The following is a 21,501-nucleotide window of genomic DNA, read 5'->3' on the forward strand; positions in this document are numbered from 1 at the left end:
TCTTTGCCCTGAGGGATACTGATAATTCAAATATTCACTTGCTTTATGTTGTCCCAAATGTCACAAAAGTTTTGATCATCTTTTTATCCTTTTTTCTTTATTTTTTTCTGACTGAACTATTTCAAAATACCTGTGTTCATGTTTGGAGATTCTCTGCTTGATGTAGTCCATTGTTGAAGCTTTCAAATGTATTTTGTATTTCCTTCAATGAAATCTTCAGTTCCAGAATTTCTATTTGGTTCATTTTTAAAATATATATCTCTTTGGTAAATTTCTCATTTATATCCTGAATTGCTTTTTTTTAAATTTCTTTGCATTATTTTTCAGAATTCTTTCATGTCTCACTGAGAATTTTTAAAATCAATATTCTTAAAGTTCTTGTAACATTTTAATGCAACATAAGTTTTGGAGAGTACATTATGTGTGTGATTTATGTAAGAAAGACAATATCAAACAGTGAGCTAATACCCCCCCAAAATTTTTTTAAATAATAAAGTTTATTTACCTGTAACCAATTAGAAATTTAGATATGTTTGCAATAAAATATTTTAAAAATAAGATAATAATAAGAAATGTATATTGATAGTTTTATTCAAATATTAAACCACATTTAGCGTTTTGGAACATTTGTCTTCATTGTTATAAATATTTATACCATATATAAAATATTATATGGATTTTTACTTAACATTGGCTTACTAAAATCCGTTGATTTTACTGCTATGATTTGCACTACTACCTTGTTAGAAAGGGCAGATTAGCAATTGGTATTGCCATTAGAGAGTTGATGAAACTGAGGCTCTGTGAGGTTAAGCTGAAGGTCACACAATTTGGAAGTGTCAGAGCTCTAATCCTAATAATATTTCCACTTTATCATTTGGCCTTGAATCCCCAGGAACTGGGACTTGTGTTTGTAACCCCAATCATTTAGCTGGATTCTCAGCTGGTCAAATTGCTCAGTGGGTATTCCCTGGCAGGAAAGCAAAAGCCTCTCTTTAGGCCTTCCTCTCATCAGAATATGGGTACCCCTTGAGACTCAATCTTTCAAAGAGATAGAGTCATGAGACCAGATAGAGGCTAGAAGAGAGACAGAGAATGGTCAGTGTGAGCAAGCCCTTTCCAAAGTATTCACTGGAGACCCTGGATTCCCCAAATCTAGCATGAGAACAGAAAAAAGGATAGGGAAACACACACACACACACACACCATCAGAAGCTGCTGAAGCTAAAGATAAGTACCCTGCATGCAGAGTTCACTCCCAACTTACTGCTACTAATTTATTTTCTCCCTTGGAAGTTTCCAGAAACAAAAGTAACAGTGGAGCTTTAGAGAGCCCTCATGCCTAATTTCTGTAGGCGTAGAAATACTATATTCTCTCGGCCCAAAGAAAATATGTACAAATTTAATGGTGCAGAGGTTTGTTAAGTCTTCTTGGAGCCATAGACCTAAGAGACAGCAAACTTTCCCTTGGAAGTGGGCGTTTGGGAATCCACGCAGTGACTATGCCTTTAACCTCCCTGGGCAGGAGTTTCTAGCATATAATCTATGTAGCTCTAGGACCTAACATATGATGGCCATATTGCAGGCACCCAAGGAATGAGGAACACAAAAGAAATCTTCATACCACCTATCTGATCCATTTCCTATATGTCTTCTACATGCATCTTCCCTAACTCTGCTTATATTATGGTTCTTCCCTATTCAAGCATAGTTCATTGCAGCGGAGTGCAGTTATCAATATTTAGGAAACAACAGAATTCCCTGACAGCGTGCTTAGTAAAATTGTAGATTTTAACCCTTGACCTATATGGTTTTCTTTTAATAGGTCTTGGTGGGGGGAGACTCATACATTTTTAGGTGGTTCTAATGCAGGTTCTAATTGCTATCCTTGAAAAAAAATAACAAAATTGGCTTACTAAATAAAATTTAGTCTTCTTAGTTTGGCATTCAAAGTCCTTCCTGACCTCTTTCCAACTACTTAGTATCTCCCAACAATTTTATCATACATTTGAGCTACTCAATTTTCTCCACTTCAGTCTCGACACTTTCTTGTCTCTATGCTATTACGTGTGCTATTGCCTCTAAGTGTAATGTCCTCCACATGTTACCCCTACTTAGCTGCTTACTCAAATCCTACTTATTTTTAAATCACCAGCTCAAATGCCATTTAAAACTTTCTAATGATCACTCCACCTGGAAGTGGATCTTTCCTACATCTGTGCCCCAATAGCACTTTATGCCTATCTGGGAACACAGTTCACTTTCTTCCTTCTATCATGACACATATCATGTCATAGCTAGCTCACTTACTAGTCTGTGGCCTAACCTGATGTTTTCCCTAATGTACCCTGATGCATCCCGAAGACAATAATGAATACTCCTAGGAATGTCATTAGGCCATACAGTACCTTTGGGCAAATTAAAAAATACTTTTTTCCTCTTGGGGGGGCACAGCCTAGTTGTAGGACACACAGTTTGGCTAGTGGAGTGCAGACTGGATTTCAGTCTTCATTTACTCCTTTAACCTGTACACAATGGTATGGAGCAGTCATGAATACCCTTGAAAGTCAGAGTAACTCTAAGTATCTAAGAAAATTGATTAAAAAGCTAAGAAAATGGCTCACAAAGAATGTAGCAGGATTATTAAAAAGTTCAGCAAAGATTTATTGAACTCCAGATCTGTGCCAGGATTCAGGGCTACAGCAGAACACGAGAGATATATAGCCACTACATTTAAGGTCCTCAGTCTCATGCCAGGCTCAGGAGTGCTGGCAATGGTGTTTCTGACAGTTTTACCTTCTGACATTTTAAGGGAAGCATCTTACCAAGCCTCTGGTTTCTATCCATTCTGATATGACTTCTTATGATACCCCAGACCCAGGACCCTTTCCTTCTCAAAGCAACAACACTCATTTTTCTGTAATCCTGAACATGAGTCATTGGCAATTATCTATAGGCATACTTCATTGTATTATGCTTTTCTTTATTGCACTTTGCAGACTTTGCATTTTTTACATATTGAAGATATGTGGCAACCCTGTGTTGAGTAAGTCTATTGCACCATTTTTTTAAACACCGTGCACTCACTTTGTGTCTCTGTGTCACAGTTTGGTCATGTTTGCAATATACCAAACTTTTCCATTCTTATTATATATGTTATGGTGATTTGTGATCAGTGATCTTTAATGTTGCTTTTGTAATTATTTTGAGGTGCCACAAACTGCATCCATATATAACAGCAAGCTTAATCAGTAAATGCGTATGTTCTGACTGCTGCACAAACTGGCCATTTCCTCAATCTTTCTTCCTCTTCTTGGGCCTTCCTATTGCCTGAAACACAACAATATTGAAATTAGGCCAATTAACAATCCTACAATGGCCTCTAAGTGTTCAAGTAAAAAGGAAAGTCACACATTTCTCACTTTAAATCAAAGGCTATGAATGATTAAGCTTAGTGATTAATGCATGTTGAAAATTTAGGTAGGCTGAAAGCTAGGCCTCTTGCACTAAACAGTTAGCCAGGCTGTAAATGCAAAGGAAAAGTTCTTAAAGAAAATTAATTGTGCTACACCAATGAATATGCAAATTATAAAGAAATGTAAAACACCCTTATAGGGATAAAGCTTTAGGGGTCTGGGTAGATAATCAAACCAACCACAACATTCCCTTAAGCCAAAGCCTAGTCCAGAGCAAGGCCCTAACTCTCTTCAATTCTGTGAAAGGTGAGAGAGGTGAAGAAGCTTCAGAAAAACAAAATTGGAAGCTAGCAAACGTTGGTTCATAAAATTTAAGAAAAAAAAGCTATCTTTATAACATAAAAATTACAAGGTGAGGCAGAAAGTGCTGTTGGAGAAGCTGCAGCAAGTTATCCAAAATATCTAGCTAAGATAATTGGTAAGGGTGGCTACACTAAGCAACGAATTTCCAATGTAGACAAAACAGCCTTCTATTGGAAAAGGCTACCACCTATGACTTTTATAGCTAGAGAAGACAACTCAATGTCTGGTTTCAAAGCTTCAAAAGACATACTGATTCACTTATTAGGGGCTAACACAGCTGGTGACTAAGTTGAAGCCAATGTTTGTTTATCACTTCCAAAATCTTATGTACTTTTAAAAATTTTGCTAATTCTACTCTACCTATGCTTTCTAAATGGAAAAACAAAGCCTAGATGATAGCACATTTGTTTACAGCAGGGCTTACTGAATATTTTAAGCCCACTGTTGAGACCTACCACTCAGAAAAAAAAAAATTCTTTCAAAATCTCAATTATCATTGGCAATGCACGTAGTCACTCGAGAGCTCTGGTAGAGACGTACAAGGAGATTATTAGTGTTTCATGCCTGCTAACATAAATCCTTTCTGCAGCTCATGAATCAGACTAATTTCTACATTCAAGTCTTATTATTTAAGAAATACATTTCATAAGGCAATAACTGTCATAGTGATTCCTCTGAGGGATCTGGGAAAAGTACGTTGAAAACCTTCTGGAAAGGAATCACCATTCTAGATGCCATTAAGAACATTGATGCTTCAATGGAGGAGTTCAAAATATCAACATTAACAGAGATTTGGAAGAAGTTGATTCAAACTCTCATAGATAATTTTGAGGGGTTCACAACTTCAGTGAAGGAAGTCACTGCAGATGTGGAAGATGTGACTGAATTACTGCAATTTCATGATAAAATCTTAATAAATTAGTAGTTGCTTCTTCTGGATGAGCAAAGATAGTGGTTTCTTGAGATGAAATCTACTAGTGAAGATTATGTGAATATTATTGAAATGAAAACAAATATTTAGAATATTTATAATATTACACAAACATACATAAATACTAATACATAAACATACATAAATATACATAAATACATAAATATATGTATTTAGAATATTACATAAACTTAGTTGACAAAGCAGTGAAAAGGTATGGGAAAATTGATTCCTATTTTGAAAAAAGTTTTTTCCAACACAGTAAATTAGAGGCTTTTATCATGGCGCAGCCACTTGAAAATAGTAAAAAGTGCATAAAGATCAATTCTGTGAGCTTTAATTTAAGAAGAAAAACAGGAATCTACCAGAATTGTGAATGACACTCCTGATCCTGGAAAGAAGATCATAAGAAAACAGCTCCTTTGATGGCATCCAACTGATAAAATTGCATGAAGCCCCAGTACATGAGAGAGGCAAAAAGCCTCCCTCTGTGATTTACCTTTCCCCTGGAGATCTGAGCAAACCAGGACAAGGGAAGCCCTTTATTTCTTTCAGCCTTGGAACTAATTTCAGGAGAGGCTTGAAAGTGCTCAGAGGGAAAGACACTGAGAAAAGCTGCAGGTATCCTCCCAGACCTGGGACTAAGAGCAGGATGTCACTTTTAATCCAGGCACATACAAAGTCAGTTATTCTTTGGTGACCCAACAGCATGGCTGTGCCAGCATTTTAGTTTCAGGCCAAAGATTGGAGTAGGGTAGGGGCTTTCCCAGACAGAATTGTGGAAAGCACCTAAGCATTAGGTGCCAGAAATGCTCTACCCCATTGCAGAAGGTGAGAATGTGCTCTTCCCCATCCTGTCTCCCTGGGAGCCACTAAAGTCAGGGTTTCTTTTGGGCAAGAATACTTGCAGCAAGGGCCAACTTGGTAACCTGGTAAGGTTGGTGTGTCACTGATAGATGTCCCAGCCTGTTTCCCTGAGATGGTGGTGTAGTGCAACCCCCTCCATTCTATCACCAGGCAGAACTCCAACCATTTGGAACACCCATTTGCCTGAAACAGCAGCTCAAGTTGCCCCATTCTTCCTGGGCATACATTGTGGTGCAGGAGTGCCCTCTTCAGTTCACACCCAGCAGATGTCCAGGTATTTGGAGCACCTACTTGCCTGAATCAGCAGTCTGAGTCACCCCACCCTTATTGTGCAGAGACTGTGGTGAATTGGGGCCCTCTCTGCTTCACATCCAGGTAGATCTACAGGTAGTCAGAGCACCTGTTTGTGTGGATCAGCAGCCTGAGTTACTCATCCTTCCTGCACAGAGGCTGTGGTGGAACAGGGCCCTCTCCACTCCATGCCCAAGCAGATCTCCAGGCATTTGAAGGACCTGCTCACCTGAATTAGTAGCCTGAGTAGCCCTATCCTTTCTGCGAAGAGATCATGGTGAAGTGGGGCTGTCCACACTTCACATCGAGGTATATCTTGCATTCAAAACAGCTGCTTGCCTGGATTAGCAGCCTGAACCATCCAACCCTTCCTAAACAGAGATTCTGGTGCATTTGGGCATTCTATACTACACACCCAGGCAGATCTGAAAGCAGCTGGAACACCCACTCTCCTGGATTAGGACTTTAGGCCACCCCCCATAAAGAGTACTTGGGACCAAGGAGGTTTACTAGCTCCACTTCCACATTTGGGCACACATCTGGGCACTTGGTTATCCACATTAGGCACACATCTGGGCAAACTGGATTATCCCTTGGTGCTGGTGCTTGTGCCTGCCATTGAGAGGCCTGTGAGTAGGCCTGCCTACTCTGGACCCACCCATCTTGGTACTGCTTGGAGCTGAGCAGGGAGCTCAGATCACTGTACACTCCATGGATCAGCCCATTGCCTGAGTCAACATATAACTTCTCCCAGTAAGCAAAAATCATGTATATTCCCAGCCACAATGGCCACAGCTGGCTCTTATCAATAAGTGCTATCTATTGGCTTGTATGGTGAATCATAAAGCCCAATATAAAACTTGCCAAGAGAAGTACATAAGGCTACAGAAGCAAAGCCAAAAGACCCTACCCAGCCTTCTATACAGTCATATCCCTTACAGAGTAACAGAAAGGAAAGGAAAATGCAAAATGACAATATTATTGAGAAGGAAAGAAAAAAGTCTCTAACCAGGAAAATAATTACAAAAATTAAAAGTGTCAGTGTCTCCAGATGAAAAGAAACCAGCACAGAGATTATGTCATCATGAAAAATCTATGTGTAATGACTCCACTAAATGAGAACATTAGTTCTCCACAAATGGTTTCTAACCAAAATGGAAACTCAAAAATGACAAAGAATTCAAAGAATTCAAATGGAGTGTAATGACTCCACTAAATGATAACATTAGTTCTCCACAAATGGTTTCTAACCAAAATGGAAACTCAGAAGTGACAAAGAATTCAAAACATGGAATAAAAGGAAGCTCAATGAGATCCAAAAGAAGATTGAAAATCAACACAAAAAACCTTCTAAATCAATCCAGAAAATGAAGGAAAAGATAAACATTGCAAAAGGAAATAAATTAGAGCTTCTGAAACTGAAAAACTTACTTAAGAAATTTCAAAAACCAATTGAAAGCTTCATCAATAGACTGGACCAAGCAGAAGAAAGAATTTCAGAGTTTGATGACCATTCTTTTGAACTAAACCAGTCAGACAAAAATAAAGAAAATTGAATTAAAAAACAATAAAGAAAATCTTTGAGAAGTATGAGATTGTGTAAAGTTACCAAACTACAAATTATTGGCACTCTTGAGAGAGAAGAGAAAGTAAACAACTTGGAAAACATGTATGAAATAATAATTTTTTTAAAAATCCACTAACCTTGCTAGACAGGTACAAATCCAGATACAAGAGATCTGGAGAACACCTTATGAGATACTATACAAACAAAACATTACCAAGGCATATAGTCACCAGACTGTTCAAGGTCAACACTAAAGAAAAATCTTAAAGACACCTAGAGGAAAAGGTCACATCATGTGCAAAAGGAACCCCATCAGGCTAAGAGCAAATTTCTCAGCAGGAAGATTAAAAGCTGGGGGCTTAGTTTCAGCATTCTTCAGGAAATAAATTCCAACCAAGAATTTTTTGTCCCACTGAACTAAGCTTCAGAAGTGAAGGAGAAATGAAATATTTTCCAAGTAAGCAAGGTGTAAAGGAATTTATTAGCACCAGATCAGGCTTACAAGAGATCCTTAAGGGAGATCTAAACATGGAAATAAAAGAACAATACCTGCTTCCACAAAAACACACTTCAGTACATAGGCCACTCACCCTATAAAGCAATCACACAACAGAAACTACACAGCAACCAGCTAACAACTTCATAGTAGGATAAAAACCGCACATATCAATATTAATGTTGAATGTTAATGATGTTAATGCCCCACCTACAAGCCATGAGTGGCAAGTATGAAAAAACAACAACAATAACAAAAAAAAGAGACCCACCTTACATGTAATGACAGCCTTAGGCTCAAAGTAAAGGGTTGGAGAAAGATCTATCACACAAATAAAAAACAAAAAAACAGGGGCTACTATTCTTATATCAGATAAAACAGTCTTTAAGCCAACAACAGTAAAAAAGAAGAAAGAAGGGCATCACATACTTATAGAGGATTCAATTCAACAAGACTTAACTATACTAACTAGATAGGTATCCAACATTGCAATACCCATATTCATAAAACAAGTACTTCCAGACCTACAATAAAGCATAGGCAGCCACACAATTATAGTGGAGAGCTTCAACACCCTACTGACAGCGTTAGACAGATCATCAAGGCAGACAACTAATAAAGAAGTTCTGGAATTAAATTCAACACTTGACCAAAATTGAACCTAATAGACATCCACAAAATGTTCCACCCATTAACAACAAAATATACATTCTTCTCATCTGCACACAGAATATACTCCAAGATCAATTACATGGTCAGCCATAAAGCAAGTCTCAGTACATTTAAAAAAAATTTAAGTCATACCAAATATACTCTTGGACCATGGTGCAATAAAAGTACAAATCAATACCAATAAAATCTCTCAAAACTACACAATTACATGGAAATTGAAAAACTTGCTTCTGAATGGCTTTTTGGTAAAAAAATGAAATTAATGCAGACATCAAAAATTATTTGAAATTAATGAAAACAGAGACACAACACATCAAAATCTCTGGGATACAGCAAAAGCAGTGCTAACAGAAAAGTTTGTAGCACTATACACCTATCTCAAAAAGTTAGGAGATCTCAAATTAATGATATAATATCATATCTAGAGGAACTAGAAGAATAGAGACAAATTAATACCAAAGCTAGGAGAAAAAAAGAAATAAGTAAAATGGAAGCAGAAGCAAATGAAGTTGAGACTCAAATATTCATGCAAAGAATCAAAAAAAAAAAAACCGAAAGTTGGTTTTTGTAAGGATAAACAAGATCAATAGGCCAGTAGCTAGATTAACAAAGAAAAAAATGGGAGAAGATTCAAATAACCACAATCTGAAACAACAAAGGTGACATCACAACCAATCCCACAATAATGCAAAAGATTTTCAGACACTATTGTGAACGCCTCTGTGCACACAAACTAGAAAATCTAGGGGAAATGGATGAATTCCTGGAAATATACAACCTCACAAGATTGAATCAGGAAAAAATTGGAACTCTGAACAAAACAATATCAAGTTCTGAAATTGAATCAGTAATAACCTACCAACCAAAAAAGGCCACAGACTAGATGAATTGACAGAAAAATTCTACCATATATTCAAAGAAGAGCTGGTACCAACTCTACTAAAACTATTTCAAAAAATCAAAGAGGAACTCCTGTCTAACTCATTTTAACAAGCCAGCATCAATGTCATATGAAAACCTGGCAAAGGCACAACCGAAAAAAAAAAAAAAATTAGAGACCAATACCCCTGATGAACATAGCCACAGAAGTCCTCAATAAAATACAAACTAAAACCAGCAGCACATGAAAAAGGTAATTCACCATAAAGAAGTAGGCTTCATTCTTGAGATTCAAGGTTGGTTCAAAATATGCAAATCAATAAATGTGACTCAAAACATAAACAGAATTAAAAACAAAAACAATAAATTCAACATCCCTTCAAGACAGAAAATCTGCAACAAACTAGGCATTGAAAGTACATATCTAACAAAGAGGAGCTGATATCATTTCTTCTGAAACGATTCCGAACACTTGAAAAGGAGGGACTCCTCTCTAACTCATTTGATGAAGCCAGTATCATCCTGATACCAAAACCGGGCAGAGACACAACAAAAAAGAGAAAACTTCATGCAAATATCCCTGATGAACGTCCATGAGAAAATGCTCAATAAAATACTGGCAAGCCGAATCCAGCAGCATATCAAAAAACTTATCCACCACGATCAAGTCGGCTTCATTCCTGGGATGCAAGGCTGTTCAACATACACAAATTGATAAACATAATCCATCACAAAAACAGAACCAAAGACAAAAAACACATGATTATCTCAATAGATGCAGAAAAGGTCTTTGATAAAATTCAACATCGCTTCATGCTAAAAACTCTCAATAAACTAGTTATTTATGGAACATATCTCAAAATAATAAGATAAATTTATGGCAAACCCACAGCCAATATCATATTGAATGGGCAAAAGCTGGAAGCATTCCCTTTGAAAACAGGTACAAGACAAGGATGCCCTCTCTCACCACTACTGTTCGACATAGTATTGGAAGTTCTGGTTAGGGCAATCAGGCAAGAGAAAGAAAGAAATGGTATGGAAATAGGAAGAGAGGAAGTCAAATTGTTTTTGTTTGCAGACGACATGATTGTATATTTAGAAAAACCCATTATCTCAGTCCAAAAACTCTTTAAGCCTATAACCAATTTTAGTGAAATCTCAGGATGCAAAATCAATGTGCAAAAATTGCAAGCATTCCTTTACACCAACAATAGACAAGCAGACAGCCAAATCATGAATGAACTCCCATTCACAATTGCTATGAAGAAAATAAAATACCTACAAATACAGCTAACAAAGGATGTGAATGATCTCTTCAAGAAGAGCTACAAACCACTGCTCAAGGAAATCAGAAAGCACACACACAAAAAAATGGAAAAACATTTCATCCTCATGACAAAAATGAGCAATGGGTAAAGGATCTTCTATTCAATAAATGGTGCTGGGAAAACCGGCTAGCCATATCCAGAAAACAGAAACTGGACCGCTTTCTTATATCATATACAAAAATCAACCCAAGATGGATTAAACACTTAAACGTAAAATCCAAAACCATAAAAACCCTAGAAGAAACCTAGGCAATACCATTCAGGACATAGGCATGGGAAAAGACTTCATGATGAAAATGCCAAAAACAATTGCAACAAAAGCCAAAATTGACAAATGGGATCTAATTAAATTTTAGACCTAAGTTTTAGGTCTTACGTTTAAGTGTCTAATCCATCTTGAGTTAATTTTTGCATGAAGTGTAAGGAAGAGGTCCAGTTTCTGTTTTCTGCATATGGCTAGCCAGTTTTTCCAGCACCATTTTTTAAATAGGGAATCCTTTCCCCATTGCTTGTTTTTGTCAGGTTTGTCCAAGATCAGATGCTTGTAGATGTGTGGTGTTATATCTGAGGCCTCTGTTATATTCCATTGGTCTATATATCTGTTTTGGTACCAGTAAAAAGGCTGTTTTGAATACTGTAGCTTTGTAGTATAGTTTGAAGTCAGGTACAGTGATGCCTTCAGTTTTGTTCTTTTTGCTTAGAATTGGCTGGGCTATATGGGCTCTTTTTGTTTCCATATAAAATTTAAAGTAGTTTTTTCTAATAATATGAAGAAAGTCAATGGTAGCTTAATGAGAATAGCATTGAATCTGTAAAATACTTTGGGCAAGATGGCCATTTTCACAATATTGGTTCTACCTATCTATGAGCATGGAATTTTTTTCCATTTGTTTGTGTCCTCTCTTATTTTCTTGAGAAGTGGTTTGTAGTTCTTTTTGAAGACCTCCTTCTTGTCCATTGTAAGTTGTATTCCTAGGTATTTTATTCTCTTTGTAGCAATTGTGAATGGGAGTTCACTCATGATTTGGCTCTCTGTTTGTGCATTACTGTTGTATAGGAATGCTTGTGATTTTTGCATGTTGATTTTCTATACTGGGACTTTGCTGAAGTTGCTTATAGGCTTAAGGAGTTTTTGGGCTGAGATGATGGGGTTTTCTAAATATTGAATCATGTCAACTGCAAACAGAGACAATTTGACATCCTCTCTTCCTATTTGAATATATTTTATTTCTTTCTCCTGCCCGATGGCCCTGGTCAGAACTTTTAATACTTTGTTGAATAAAAGTGGGAGAGAGGGCATCCTTGTCTTGTGCTGGTTTTCAAGGGGAATGCTTTCAGATTTTGCCCATTCAGTATGGTATTGACTATAAATAGCTCTCATTATTTTGAGATATGTTTCATCAATACCTAGTTTATTGGCAGTTTTTAGCATGAAGGTTGTTGAATTTTATTGAAGACCATTTCTGCATCTATTGAGATAATCGTGTGATTTTAGCCATTGGTTCTGTTTTTCTGTGATGTATTATGTTTATTGATTTGCGTATGTTGAAACATCCTTGCATCCCAGGGATGAAGCCAACTTGATCATGGTGGATAATCTTTTTGATGTGCTGCTGGATTCAGTTTGCCAGTATTTTATTGAGGATTTTCGCATTGTTGTTCTTCAGAGATGTTGACCTGAAATTTTTGTTGTTGTTGTTGTGTATATGCCAGGTTTTCATATCAGGATGATGCTGGCCTAACAAAATGAGTTAGGGAGGAGTATTTTTTATTCTGAAGGTTGGAATAGTTTCAGAAGGAATGGTACAAGCTCCTCTTTGTGCCTCTGGTAGAATTTGGCTGTGAATCCATCTGATACTGGGCTTTTTTTGGTTAGTAGGCTATTAATTACTGCCTCAATTATACAACTTTTTATTGGTCTTTTCAGGGATTCAAATTCTTCCTGGTTTAGTCTTGGGAAGGTGTATGTGTCCAGGAATTTATCCATTTCTTCTAGATTTTCTAGTTTATTTGCATAGAGGTGTTTATAGTGTTCTCCAATGGTAGTTTTTATTTCTGTGGGATCAGTGGTGATGTGCCCTTTATTATTTTTTATTGTGCTTTTTTTTCTTCTCTCTTTTCTTCTTTATTAGTCTAGCTAGCAGTCTATCAATTTGGTTAGTATTTTCAAAAAAACAACTTCTGGATTCAGTGATTTTTTTTTTTTTTTTTTTTTGAGACAAAGTCTCGCTCTGTCACCCAGGCTGGTACAGTGGTGGGATCTCAGTTCACTGCAAGCTCTGCCTCCTGGGTTCACGCCATTCTCCTGCCTCAGCCTCCCAAGTAGTTGGGACTAGAGGTGCCTGCCACCATGCCTGGTTATTTATTTTTTTTTTTTGGTATTTTTAGTAGAGACAAGGTTTCACCGTGTTCGCCTGGATGTCAGTGATTTTTTTGAAGGGTTTTTCGTTTCTCTATCCCATTCAGTTCTGCCCTAATTTAGTTATTTCTTGTCTTCTGCTATATTTTGAAATTTTTTGCTCTTGCTTCTCTAGTTCTTTCAATTGTGATGTTAGTGCATTGATTTTAGGTCATTCCCACTTTCTGATGTGGGCACTTAGTGCTATAAGTTTCCCTCTTAACACTGTTTTAGCTGTGTCCCAGAGATTCTAGTATGTTCTCTATTAGTTCTCATTGGTTTCAAAGAACTTCTTTATTTCTGCCTTAATTTCGTTATTTACCCAGTATCCACGCAGGAGTAGGTTTTTCAGTTTTCATGTAATTGTGCTATTTTGAGTGAGTTTCTTAATTCAGAGTTCTCATTTGATTGCACTGTGGACTGAGAGACTGCTTGTTATAATTTCCATCCTTTTGCATTTGCTGAGGGGTGTTTTACTTCCAATTATGTGGTTGATTTTAGAATAAGTGCTATGTGTGCTGAGAAGAATGTATATTCTGTTGATTTGGGGTGGAGAGTTCCGTAGATGTCTATTAGGTCTGCTTGGTCCAGAGCTGAGTTCAAGTCCTGAATATCCTGGTTAATTTCCTGTCTCATTGATCTGTCTAATATAGACAATGTAGTGTAAAAGTCTCCCACTGTTATGGTGTGAGAGTCTGGGTCTCTTTGTAGGTCCCTAAGAACTTGTTTTATGAATCTGGATGCTCCTGGATTGGGTGTACATGTATTTAGAATAGTTAGCACTTCTTGTTAAATTAGCCCCTTTACCATTATGTAATGTCCTTCTTTGTCTTTTTTGACCTTTGTTGGCTTCAAGTCTGTTTTATCAGAGACTAGGATTGCAACCTTTGCTTTTTTTTTTTTTTTTTGCTTTCCATTTTCTTGGTATTGCTGAAAGAGGCACTGAAGAGATAGAAAAAAGCCCTGAATCACCAATCCTACCCTTTTCCTACCCCCAGCAGCAGCAGCATGGTGTAGAGAGCATCTCTGGGCACTGGGAGAGGAAGAACACTGCAATTCTGAGGCCTTGAACTCAGTGCTGTCCTGTTAAGACAGAAAGAGAAACTAGACCAAACTCAGCTGAGGCCCGCCCACAGAGGGAGCATTTAAATTAACCCCAGCCAGAGAGGAATCACTGATCCCAGTGATCTGAACCTGAGTAGCTGCAAACCTCATCAACAAGGGCCAAAGTTCTCTTGGTCTCTAAGCAAATGCAAAAGGCAGTCTAGGCCATAAAGGCTTCAATTCGTCAGCAGTTCTAGAGGCTGAACTAGGTCCAGAGAGAGTGGACTGCTGTGGAGGGTGCCATGTGACATACTGAGAAACCAGCTGGGGCAGTCAAAGGAGTACTAGCATACCCCCTCCCATAGCCCCAGTCTGCAAAGTTCAAGGCGCCAAAAGAGACCTCTTCCTTCCACTTGATGAAAGAGTGGAAAATACTTTGTCTTACATCTTAAGTACCAGCTCAGCCACAGCAGAAAAAGGCAACAGTCAATGTTGTGAGGCCCCTGTTCCAGGGCCTAGCTCCAAGACAACATTCCTAGACACCTTCTGGGCCAGAAGGGAAGTCACTGTCTTGAAGGAAAGGACTTAGTACAGACAACATTCATTACCTGCTACCTGAAGAGCCCTTGGGCCCTAAAAAACCAGCAATAATACCCAGCTACTACATCAAGAGACTGGATAAGCCTCTGAGACTTCCTGGCTTCAGGTGAGACTCAGCATATTACCAGCTGTGGTGGCTATGGGGCAAAATTTATTCTGCTTGAGAAAAGCAGAGGAAAAAGTAAAAGGGACTTTGTCTTGCACCTTAGGTACCAACACCACCACAGGGGGATAGAGCACCAAGTGGGCTCCTGAGGTCCCCAATTTCAGGACTTGACTCCTCCTGGATGGCATTTCTGGACCTGCCCTAGGTCAGAAGGGTAAGTCCCAGGCAAGGCAGCATTCACCACAAGCTGACTTAAGAGACCTTGGGCCTTAGGGCGATATCAGTGGTCATCTGACAGTACTCCTCGTGGCCAGAAGTTGTGGTGACTACAAGGTGAGGCTTCTCTGTCTTTGGAAAGGGAAGGAAAGAGTGGGAAGAACCATGTCTTGTGGTTTGAGTGACAGCTCAGCTGCAATACAATACAATGCAAGGTAGACTTCTAAGGTTTTTGACTGACTCCTGGATGGCACTTCTGGACACATGTTTGGTTTAGGGGAATTCACCAACCTGGAGGGAAGAATACAGGCCTAGCTGGCTTTGCCATCTGCTAATTGTAGAGCCCTAAGGCCTTAAGTGAACATAAGCAGTAGCCAGGGAGTTGTTATAGCAGACCTTGCATGAGACACAGTTCTGTGCTGGCTTCAGGTCTGACCCAGTGCAGTCATAGTGGTAATAGCCACCAGGTTGTTTGTGTCACTCTGCCACCAGCTTTAGGTGGCTCAAAACAGAAAAAGAGACTGTATGTTTGGGAGAAAGTAAGGGGAGAGAACAAGAGTTTCTGCCTGACAACCCAGAAAATTCTCTTGGATCTTGTCCGAGACCATCAAGGCAGTACCTCTATGAGTCTGTAAGAACCACAGAATTACTGTGCCTGGGGTGTCCACTATAGCAGAAACACCTAAGAAGACAGCAATCAAGTTCTTTCAAATAGCTGGAAAGCCTTCTCAAGATGTATGGCTACAAATAAATCCAGACAGTGAAGGCTACAATAAATACCCAACTCTTCAATGCCCAGACACCAAAGTGCAACTGCTAGCATCAACATCATCCAGGAAAACATGACCTCAAACAATGAAGTAAATAAGCCACCAGGGACCAATCCTGGCAAAACAGAGATATGTGACTTTTCACACAGAGAATTCAAAATAGCTGTGTTGAAGAAACTAAAAAAAATTCAAGATAACACAAAGAAGAAATTCAAAAGTTTCTTAGATAAATTTAACAAAGAGATTCAAATAAGTATTAAAAATCGAGCAGAAATTCTGGAGCTAAAAAATGCATACTGAAGAATACATTAGAGTTCTTTAATGGAAAAATGGATCAAGCAGAAGACAGAATTAATGAGCTTGAAGATAGGCTATTTGAAAATACACAATCAGAGGAGACAAAATAAAAAAAAAAATGAAGCACACCTACAGGATCCAGAAAACAGCCTCAAAAGGGCAAATCTAAGATTTATTGGACTTAATGTGGAGGTAGAGAAAGAGATGGGGTAGAAAATTTATTCAAAAGGATAATAACAGAGAAATTTCCAAACCTAGAGAAAGATATCAACATTCAATTACAAGATGGTTACAGGAAATGAAGCCGATTTAAGATTTAAGTGATTAAAAGACTACCTCTAGAGATGTAGACCAATGGAACAAAACAGAGCCCTCAGAAATAATGCCGCATATCTACAACTATCTGATCTTTGACAAACCTGACAAAAACAAGCAATAGGGAAAGGATTCCCTATTTAATAAATGGTGCTGGCAAAACTGGCTAGCCATATGTAGAAAGCTGAAACTGGATCCCTTCCTTACACCTTATACAAAAATTAATTCAAGATGGATTAAAGACTTACATGTTAGACCTAAAACCATAAAAACCCTAGAAGAAAACCTAGGCAATACCATTCAGGACATAGGCATGGGCAAGGACTTCATGTCTAAAACACCAAAAACAGTGGCAACAAAAGCCAAAATTGACAAATGGGATCTAATTAAACTAAAGAGCTTCTACACAGCAAAAGAAACTACCATCAGAGTGAACAGGCAACCTACAGAATGGGAGAAAATTTTTGCAACCTACTCATCTGACAAATGGCTAATATCCAGAATCTACAATGAACTCAGACAAATTTATAAGAAAAAAACAAACAACCCCATCAAAAAGTGGGTGAAGGATATGAACAGACACTTCTCAAAAGAAGACATTTATGCAGCCAAAAGACACATGAGAACATGCTCATCATCACTGGCCATCAGAGAAATGCAAATCAAAACCACAATGAGATGCCATCTCACACCAGTTAAAATGGCGATCATTAAAAAGTCAGGAAACAACAGGTGCTGGAGAGGATGTGGAGAAATAGGAACACTTTTACACGGTTGATGGGACTGTAAACTAGTTCAACCATTGTGGAAGTCAGTGTGGCGATTCCTCAGGGATCTAGAACTAGAAATATCATTTGACCCAGCCATCCCATTACTGGGTATATACCCAAAGGACTATAAATCATGCTGCTATAAAGACACATGCACACGTATGTTTATTGCGGCACTATTCACAATAGCAAAGACTTGGAACCAACCCAAATGTCCAACAGTGATAGACTGGATTAAGAAAATGTGGCACATATACACCATGGAATACTATGCAGCCATAAAAAAGGATGAGTTCATGTCCTTTGCAGGGACATGGATGAAGCTGGAAACCATCTTTCTCAGCAAACTATCACAAGGACAAAAAACCGAACACCGCATGTTCTCACTCATAGGTGGGAATTGAACTATGAGTACACATGGACACAGGAAGAGGAACATCACACACTGGGGCCTGTTGTCGGGTGGGGGGAGGGTGGAGGGATAACATTAGTAGATATACCTAATGTAAATGAGGAGTTAATCGGTGCAGCACACCAACATGGCACATGTATACATATGTAACAAACCTGCACGTTGTGCACATGTATCCTAAAACTTAAAGTATAATAATAATTTAAAAAAAAAGAAGGAGTTCTACAGTGGGTAAATTGCTATCAAACAGCACCACATGCTACATAGAAAAATTTTGTGAAAGGAAGAGCCAATTAATGTGGCAAACTTCATTGTTACATTAAGAAATTGCCACAACCATCTCAACCTTCAGCATACACCACCTTGATCAGTCAGCAGCCATCATCATTGAGCAAAGCCTCCACCAGTAAAAAGATTACAACTCCTCGAGGGCTCAGATGATCATATGCATTTTTTGCAATAAACTATTTTTGATAAGATACATACATTTTTTAGACATAATGCTATTGCACACAGTAGATTTCAGTATAGTATAAATAAAACTTTTATATGCACTGAGATACCAATAAATTTTAATGACCCACTTTATTGCTATATTCACTTTATTGCAGTGGTCTGAAACCAAATCTGTAATATTTGTGAGTTATACCTTCAAATCCATCTGCTCTCTGCATCTGTAGCCTTTAAGTTGACCCCTCCTGTCATTAGAGGTAGAGAAGAGTCTCAAAAGTGAGGGTCATATGGTTGAGTTTTGTGGTTCTCAAGAGTGAGAGTCATGAGGTTCAGCTTTGATCATTAAATTACAAGCTGCTACACTAGCTATACCATATCTGGCTTGAGAAGTAAAGTGGTTTGTGATTCATCGTGACTGTACAAAGACTCTTGGCAAGTGTCAGTGGTTTCTTGCTCTTTGCATTATGGAAGACAGGCTGGGCCAGGAAAAATCTGGAGGCTTTTCTCTGGAAGGATGTTCACTCTACTATGGAGTTTTGTCAGCTTCCCTGCCACAAAGTGAAAACATAATGTTCCATATTCTGCAGATATCTTAGGACGCAGACTTATAAGACTTGTTTGACTACAATAGAGAAGGACGAAAAGAAAGGTGCTGGGATGTAGAACTAGATCCCTTCTTTCAAAGAGATAGGTATCTGAAGGAAGTTCAGTCTGGCAGGCAATGAATTGGATTCTAAGGAATACAACCAGAATAGGTGACAGATAAGCCAGATTCATGGCATTTGGGTCTGAGATAAGGTGGTTAGCAGAGCGTAGTGTTAAAAAATTGGGACAGGAAGCTACACACAGAAAATCATTCATTCATTAGGAAAATCATCATTGAGCATCTACTATTTGCTAAGAATTATTCTAGACTGGTATACAGCCTTGAACAGAACAGAAAAAAATTATCTCCTTATGGAACTTACACGCTGGTGGGAGAAAGATATATAGTAAACTTAAACAAATAAGTAAATTATATTATATATCTGATGATGATAAATGTTGTGGAAAAATAAGTCAGAAAAAAGGAGATGAAAAAAGACAGAGAAGGCTTCAATGAGAAGGTCTCACCTAAAAAAGGTGAGAGAGTAAGCCATGAACATATCTAGGAGAGGACTGTTCCAAGGAAGACAGCAAATGCAAAGATATAAACGTGCTTAGAATTTTGAGGAGTAGCAAAAAAAAAAAAAAAAAAAAAAAAAAAAGTCAGTGAATCCGGAATAAAATGGATGAAGAGGAGAGTAGTAGAAGAGGTCAGAGGGGTGACAAGTAGAAAGGGTTTTGCAGATCATATAAGACTTTATAGACCATTTTAAGGACTTTGGCTTTTACTCCAAAATGGAAATTTAAATGGTTTTAAACAGGTAATGACATAATATGTTTTAAGTTTTAATGACATCACTCTTGCTACTATGTGGAGAATACACTTAATGGAGACAAAAGTGGAAGCAAGGAGATCAACTAGGATACTATTGCAGTGGTCTAAGCAAGAGATGATGGTGACCTGGACTAGCATAGCAGCATAGAAGACATGAGAAGTGGTGGGATTGTGAATACATTTTAAAAGTAGAGCTTACAGCTTACATCTTACACTGTTCAGAAAATGGAAAGACAAGCTACAGACTGGGAGAAAATATTGCACAGCACATATATGATAAAGGACTTGTATCCAGAATATATAACTGAATACAACTAAACAATAAAAACCCCAATTTTTAAGTAGGCAAAATATTTAAACAGGCCTTCACTTAAGATTTATGGGGGGCAGGGCCAAGGTGGATAACTAGAAGCAGTGGCAGTTGGAGGCTTCCAACAAAAAGATCCAAAACAGTGTGTGAATACTGCACCAGCAACTGAGGTATCCAGGTTTTGTCATTAGAACTGACTAGGTGGCTGTCATGACCCATGGAGAGGAAAGAAAAGCTGTGTAGTGCAGCAGACCACCTGAGAGCCACACAGGGCAGGAGAGTCCTCACCCCAGCCAAGGGAGGTGGTGAGTGGGCGTGCTACCCAGCCTGGGAAACCATGCTTTTTCCACAGAATTATGCAACCCACAGATTGGAAGATTCCACTCAGGAGCCCATGCCACTGGGACCTTGGGTCTCAACTACAGAGCTGCACAGATTCTCAACACCCACTAGGCTGGAATCAGCCTAAGTCTGTCAAGTTCCTGGGGGAAGTGGTGGCCATCACCACTGCTGTGGCTGCCTGCAGTCTAAGCCATATTAGCTCCGTGGGGGAGGGACAGCAGCCAACTCTGAGGCTGCAGGGCCTCCAGCAGGAATTCCAACTCCAGCCAGGGGCTCAGGGACAGAACTCTAATCTCCCAGGGCATGAACCCTTAGGTGGAGGGGTGGCCATAGTCCCTTTGGACCAGCAGACTTGGTCTTTCCTTCTGCTAGCTCTGAGAAATCCAGGAACTCCAGAGGAGTGGGTTTCCCCCAGCGCAGCAGAGCCCCTCCACCAAGAGACAGCCAAAGTGCCTCGTTAAATGGGTCCTGCTTCCCTGGCTACCCAACTGGGTGAGACCTCCCAACAGGGGTTGTCAGACATCCTTTACAGGAACGTTTCTACCAACATAAGTTCAGTGACCCTTGAGGTCAGAGATCACAGAGGGAGGAGCAGGCACCCACCTTTGCTATTCTCCAGCCTTCTCAAGTGACATCTCCAAGCATGGGAGCAAACCGGATGAATAGGGCCTGAAGTGAATCCCCAGAAATCCAAGGCAGTTCTACAGAAGAGGAACTTGACTATTGGGAAAAAAAAAAAAGAAAAAAGAAAACATAAAACAAACATACAAAAACAGAAAAGCAACAACAACAGAATCAACAACAACAAAAAATCCCCATAAGCAACTCCCTCCAAGATGGCCAAATAGGAACAGCCCCAGTCTACAGCTCCCATCATGAGTGATGCAGAAGATGGGAGATTTCTGCATTTCCAACTGAGGTACAAGGTTCATCTCACTGGGGCTTGTTGGACAGTGGGTGCAATCCACAGACTGTGAGCTGAAGCAGGTCAGGGCATCACCTCACCCAGGAATCACAATGGGTCGGGGAATTCCCTTCCCAGTCAAGGGAAGCCATGACTGATGGTACCTGGAAAATTGGGACACTACCACCCTAATACTGTGCTTTTCCAATCGTCTTAGCAAACGGCACACCAGGAGATTATATCTCACACCTGGCTTGGAGGGTTCCACGCCCACGGAGCCTGGCTCACTGCTAGCACAGAAGTCTGAGATCAAACTGCAAGGTGGCAGCAA

The 21,501-nt window shown here is 38.9% G+C and overlaps 1 long non-coding RNA gene across 1 annotated transcript; it reads right to left on the minus strand.

Moving 5' to 3' along the window:
- Window positions 1-2,640: 2,640 nt before the first annotated feature.
- On the minus strand, window positions 2,641-20,986 carry LOC124905195 (uncharacterized). Its single transcript, XR_007068257.1, has 2 exons — window positions 20,870-20,986; window positions 2,641-3,330 (listed from the first exon to the last, which is right to left on the minus strand). It is a non-coding gene; the product is annotated as an uncharacterized LOC124905195 (long non-coding RNA).
- Between the last annotated feature and the right edge of the window lie 515 nt (window positions 20,987-21,501).

Source organism: Homo sapiens, chromosome X, assembly GCF_000001405.40.
Source record: "Homo sapiens chromosome X, GRCh38.p14 Primary Assembly".
In the NCBI taxonomy this organism is placed as follows: Eukaryota; Metazoa; Chordata; class Mammalia; order Primates; family Hominidae; genus Homo; species Homo sapiens.